Source organism: Homo sapiens, chromosome 1 (genome assembly GCF_000001405.40).
Source record: "Homo sapiens chromosome 1, GRCh38.p14 Primary Assembly".
Taxonomy (NCBI): Eukaryota; Metazoa; Chordata; class Mammalia; order Primates; family Hominidae; genus Homo; species Homo sapiens.
In genome coordinates, this window is record NC_000001.11 from 35,141,097 (window position 1) to 35,147,500 (window position 6,404).

The following is a 6,404-nucleotide window of genomic DNA, read 5'->3' on the forward strand; positions in this document are numbered from 1 at the left end:
GAAACTCTGTCTCAAAAAAAAAAAAAAAAAAAAGAAAGAAATTGACCTTTGTTTTAAATGTGGGGACCTTGGCAGTGGACTTTATATTCCTTAGTGCCTTTTTACTGAGAAAAATGTTTATTACTTTTTAAACCAAAGAAAGCCAAATACCATTTTACACTTAACAGTGCTTCTCGTGTGATTTTTATACCAGATAAGCTAAATTTTATTTTTATATTAGTGTGTTATTAATGTTAAACTTAATTTTAATAAAACCTTGTAGACATATTTATCTAATTTTTAATGTTTGACCATAAGGTAAGATTTTATAGACTCTTTTTAACCTTTTATTGTAGCAGGACGAGCCACAGACAAAACTCCTCAGACACTGAATTAAAGAAGGAAGAGGTTTTTATTCGGCCAGGAGCATTGTCAGACTCGTGTCTTAAGAGCCGAGCTCCCCGAAAAAGAAATTCTTGGCCTTTTTAAAGGTTTACAACTTTAAGGGGTCCACGTGTAAGGGTCGTGGTACATCAAGCAAGCATGGGAAACATGACTGGGGGCTATATGCATCAGCTAACAGAACAAAAAGTTTTACAATGCTTTTTTTCATACAGTGTCTGAAATTTACAGACAACACAAGTAGTTTAGGTCAGGGGTTGAGGTTATCATTATTACTTTTTTTAACTCCTAAGGCCGGGTGGTGGTGCCAAGGTTGTCTGGCTGTTTATCTTACTTTTGTTTTTTTTCCAACTTTTTGTTTTTCTCTCCTCCTGTCTTGCGAACTAGGCAAGGTGGGGAGAGGAGGGCAGCAGGAGTAGTAGTGGTCTCCTTCCTTATCTCCCCCTTTGAGAATTTTCACTAATCAGTGGGAGTTCTTTTATTTTTACTTTTTGAGTCTTTTTGTGAGACAGAGTGATAGTATTTTATGTAATATACTTGTGTTGAAGTTTTCTGCTGAACCATGGTAGCTACAAAACCTTTTATCATTTGAAGGAGCAAATATAATATACAGGGGAGCAGCAAGCAAGTTCCTATTACTAGTAATACACTTACAATGAGGGTTTTAAATTTTCTTACAGCTGGAAACTATGTTCTAAATGAACACCTAGGATCAGACCTGTGTTAAACCTGTATATGCACATGTACCAACTTTGTCATGCCTTAAGCAGGTTAGTTCTTTTTACTGTGTCTTAAAAGCTTTTTCCTAGTGAGTAACATGGTATTTTTTAATAATAGAAGTTTTAAGAGCCAGATGCTTGAACTTGTGGCATCTGTTTGGGGAAAGAGCTAGTTAAAGTTATCTTGAGGCATTAACTCTTTTGCTTCTCAAGGCCATTGGTCTCTTATGTTAGCCTTTTTATAAACATAACATGAAGAAACATCTAGGCAGCTAGCAATGTTTTCAGCCAGCTGAGCAAATAGGTTTTTTCTGTTTTTGCTAAAGGAGGAGGTTCTGGTAACTTCTGGTTTATATGTTTAAAGAATGACTGAAAGACTCAGAATTGTTACTGGGCTGGACAGGTCTGGGTTTCCTAAGTAGTATGTGTACAGTGGGGACACCTTATATAGGTGTTTCTTCTAACATGGTTATGGGGGTTAACAACAACAAAACAATGTACAGCATATTCGTATCCAGCAAGGACAAAAGAGGTCCTTACCTGGGAAAAAGGTTGAATACAGCGACCGAACAATAGGAAAACAGTTAGTATTACAGGAAAACTATTAGTCTTAAGATTTTTAACTACATTTACTTGCTCGATGAGTCCTCAAGCTTCGGCCGTGCGTAGACTGGTCAGCCTCCGGAGTGACCAGAGCAGGGCTGTCGTCCTCAGCAGCAGCTTGGTCTCGTCTCAGGATCAGCCAGGTTGGGTGATCTGCATCCTGCTGGCTGGTCCACTTGTCCTGAGCTGCCAGTGTTAGCTGACTGTGATGGATCCAAGACACAACACCTGCAACTTTAACAGCAGTGGGAGTGGACAAGGTTACAGTATAGGGTCCATCCTATATGGGTCCTAGAAAAATTTGATTTTACTTTTTTACTTTAAACAGAGTCACTAGATTTAAAGGGGTGTCAGGCTTATAGGCATTTTTATTTATTTAATTATGAACACTTTGTATGGCTATTTTTAAAGCCTGCATTTGCTTTTTTAAGGTTAATTCCTGTAGTTTCTGGAGGTCACCTTTAATTTGACCTATGATTTGGGGGTGGCCGACTGAACAAAATCTTATAGGGCAAATACCTTGTTTGTTTGGGGGTGCACCTGACTCGGAGGAGGACCATAGGCAAAAACCTGATTTTATCTTACATGAATTTCCTGGCAATATTTTTTTCAGTAGCTGCTCAAGTGTCCAGTTCATGCTTTCCACCTTTTCTTGAACTTTGTGGCTGATGGGTTGTGTTTAACTTCCATTTTATTTTTAACAGCCTTGTTAAATCTTGTACTATTTCAACTACAAATGCTGGCCTATTGTCTGACTTTAAAGTTAGAAGTAGTCTAAACCTGGGGATAATGTCTTTTAACAGTACTTTAGTTACTTCTTGTAATTTTTTTTGTCCTGGTGGGGAAAACTTTAACTTACCCTGAAAAGGTGCAAACAAGCACTAGCATGTACCGATAGCCTCCAGCACGGGGCAGTTCTGTAAAGTCTACAAGCAAGTTCTCACAAGGTATGGCTCTTTCTCCTGTTTAAGTTTCTTAGAGGAGGGGTTCTTCCCCCCTCCACTTTGTAACTCTATCTAGTGCTTAACCTTCAGTGAGAAATTGGAATCCAGATACAGCAGAATCTGCTGCTTTTAACTTTTGTTGTGACCATGGGCTCCTAGGAGCCTAATGAGAAGGTGCCTAGTCTGCCCTAGTCTTTACATTCTTTAGTTCCTGTCAGCCTGATCAGGTCAGTATTTTGTTCCTCCAAGGTGCGGCGGCCCTCGGCCCTCTTTGCCTTGTGGCCTTGGCCATTTCCTTTATTGCCTTTTGAATATTTACCGTTTTAGTGTCCTTTCTTTTTGCATCTCGCACATTAATCTCTCTCTAGCCTTGTCCGGCTCTTGAATCCTTGCCTAACTTGACTTCTTTCACGTCTACATCCACGTCCACATCCTCTCACATTGCTAATTTTTCTTTGTATAAGAGCTGTTGCTAACAGATTGGCTTTTTTACTTAAGTCTTTGTTTTTTTTTTTTCTTTCTGAGTTATCCTACTCCTACGGCCAGCTGGTGGGGCCAGGCAACAGCACGGGCCCTGCCCCTGCGCACTGCGGTCTGTCTCTCCTGTTTCCTTCTGATTCTCTTTTTCACACTTACTCTCAGTCTTTTTTTTTTTTCTTTTGCTCTTTCCTAGTTTTGTTCCTTGGTCACAGTTAACATACACCTTGGTGGCCACTTTTATAGACTAGGTGGTATTCATGCCTGCAGCTTCTGCTTGATGTTACCCTGGGCTTGCTTTACAAATGAAGTATTCACTATATACTGATTTTCAGCGGCCTCAGGGTTAAATGGGGTGTAAAGCCAGAATGCTTTATAGAGTCTCTTATAAAACTGACTTAGGCTCTTGTCAGCTCCTTGAAAAATTTCTGAAATCTTTTTTATATTACTTGCTTTTTTCTACCAACTCTTAGCCTCTGCAGAAGTGCTTCTCAGTACCTCTGCAAACGCTGAAGCTGAGTTGCATTCTCTGGGTTTTTTTCCCCTTTTTCCTAGAGTAACAGGCTCTTTTTTTAATATAATTTTTCATGCACTTAGAGGGTTAAACAGGCATACCGAGAGTCAGTGTAAATGTTTACAGTCTTACCTTCACTGAGTTCTAAGGACTGAATTAAAGCAATCAGCTCAGCTTAACGACAGTGTCCAGGGTTACCACCGCATATTCTGCACATCTCTCTCCTTGTGGGTTGATGAAGCTGTTCCCGTCCACGTATAGCTCCCAGTTTACTGATGCCCAAGGCTGGTCCTGGAGGTCAGGTCTGCTAGAGTAAACTTGAGTCCAACACCTCTACACAGTTATGCTCGACAGGGCTCTAGCTGCCAGGAGCAAGGTGGAGGGTTCAGGGTATTTCCAGTTTAGTAGATCAATGGTTGAAAAGGGCTGATAGATGAAAGTCTGTTGCCCCCCCAGATGTGGGCCTGGTCATTATAATAGACAGGTCCTCGCGTCTCCCTGAGAGGCATTTGCATAGCTCGAGCAAGACCAGATCTGAGAGGGCCCACTTGACTATCTTGACTTCCTTCCTCGGCCTCTCGAGGCTCCGATCCTCCCCTTTGAGGTGAGACCTGGGGCATGTTAGCTCCTGAATCTCATTTCTGAGGGGGCTGTTGGCCTCGGTAAAGGGGGATAGGCTGGGACATATGGAGAAAGAATTTCTATTATCTCTGGCAGCTCCTGCAAAACTGGCTTCTGTTGCTGTTTCTGGGACTCCCTTTTTAACTCCATGTCTGCTGGCGAAGCTGCTCTTACTTTTACTTTTGGCTTTTTTTGCAATAAGCTGTTAAACAGGGCTAAATTTATGCCCATTTTGTCTATATTATATTTAACCATGAGTCAATATAAAGTAATTTGATCTAGGTACACTGGCTGTCCTCCAACCCCTGTCACCACCTTAAATACATGGCCAATTGTTCCCTGTCTATAGTTCCTTCGGTGGGCCATCCAACACCAAAAGAGGGCAATTCTAATTTACACAGAGTTCTTAGCCTCTAGGGGTTAACTTAACTCTATAATCTCCTGCAAAACCCTTCTTAAGGTTCTGTAACCTGCATTTTAATGGAATAAGTTTTGATGATTTGATGACTTTCCTTTTATTTTTCTTTTTGAAAATTTTTTTTAACACAGTTCTTAGTGGAGTAGGCTTACTTTGTGTCTGACCTATTTTTCTCTTGAGACAAAACAACATTCACACTACAAGAAGGAAAGGATAAAAGGTCACTCACTCATCTAATTCACACTAAATCAAAATGAAAACTAAAACCAAAGTGTTGTTAAAGGCACACCTGTTCATCAAGCAATTTAAGCCAAGTCAAAATCAGAACCAAAACCAAAGTGCCAATAAAGGCATGTCTGTTTATCAAGCAATTCAAGTCAAGTCAAAATCAAAACTAAAACCAAAGTATCAAGCAATTCAAGTCAAGTCAAAAACAAAAACCAATGTGCCGGTACAGGCACGCCATGGGTGATCAGGCCACACTTCCACTCAAGAGGAGTGGCAAGTTCCAAAGACCAGTCTTACCAAGTTTCAGATGTCCAGACTTAAAGTGCCAGTTCCTTCCCGGTGTTCAGCCACTGCGTTGATCCTCCGCGGGGGCCTGCTGTGCGCTGCTCTGGTGAGGTGTTCAACCGGGGCAAATGCCTACCCGGGAGCGCTCTTAGGATCCGTGTTGCTCAAGCTGGCCAGAGTCCCCTGCAGGGATGCTCTACAGGGCAGACATAAGCTAACTAAGGGGCTGCCTGGACCATCCCTTAATCACCTCGCTTCCCGGTCAGGGAACCAAGAAATGTAACAGGACGAGCCACAGACAAAACTCCTCAGACACTGGATTAAAGAAGGAAGAGGTTTTTATTTGGCCGGGAGCATCAGCAGACTCGCGTCTTAAGAGCTGAGCTCCCCGAAAAAGAAATTCTTGGCCTTTTTAAAGGCTTACAACTTTAAGGGGTCCACGTGAAAGGGTCGTGATACATCAAGCAAGCGTGGAGGCTACATGCATCAGCTAACAGAACAAAAAGTTTTACAATGCTTTTTTTCATACAGTGTCTGGAATTTACAGATCACACAAGTAGTTTAGGTCAGGGGTTGATGTTATTATTACTTTTTTTAACTCCTAGGGTCGGGTGGTGGTTCCAAGGTTGTCTGGCTATTTATCTTACTTTTGTTTTTTTCCAACTTTTTGCTTTTTCTCTCTTCCTGTCTTGTGAACTAGGCAAGGTGGGGAGAGGAGGGCAGCAGGAGTAGTAGTGGTCTCCTTCCTTACAATTTTTGCTAAAGAGCAGGTTGGTGCTTTAAGATAAACCTGTTATGCTTTTACTTTAATGTCCAGTTCACAGAAAAACTGGATGATACTTCTTTAACTTTAGCTAATATGTTTACACACAGAATTTTCTTTACAATTAACATTTTAAAACATGTTTAAACCTTCAAAACAGTAATTTTCTTTTTTTAATGTAGGTAAAAATGTACATTCTTATGCTTCCTTATAATCCTTTTACCAAAGGTATATTTTACTTTTCTTATACACCTTGCACATAAACTGTTTTTTTTTTTAATAGTTTTACATTCAGGAGGCCTAGTTACTTTTAAATTATACAACATTTTTTGCATAAATTCTTTTTTATAACATTTTTCTCTTTCATGACTTTCACAGACAATTCTTCGACATGCCTCAACTTTCTGACTTATTACAAATATTTCTTTCTTTAAACAACCAGTTAACTTAT

At 40.4% G+C, this 6,404-nt stretch overlaps 1 long non-coding RNA gene across 2 annotated transcripts; it reads right to left on the reverse strand.

The window, feature by feature from the left end:
* Positions 1-372: 372 nt before the first annotated feature.
* LOC105378644 (uncharacterized) lies at positions 373-5,729 on the reverse strand. 2 transcript variants are annotated; one of them, XR_947180.3, is made up of 3 exons: positions 5,203-5,729; positions 3,771-4,000; positions 373-1,937 (listed from the first exon to the last, which is right to left on the reverse strand). It is a non-coding gene; the product is annotated as an uncharacterized LOC105378644 (long non-coding RNA). The 2 variants fall into 2 exon arrangements; XR_007065746.1 differs by having other exon boundaries at positions 3,771-5,729.
* Between the last annotated feature and the right edge of the window lie 675 nt (positions 5,730-6,404).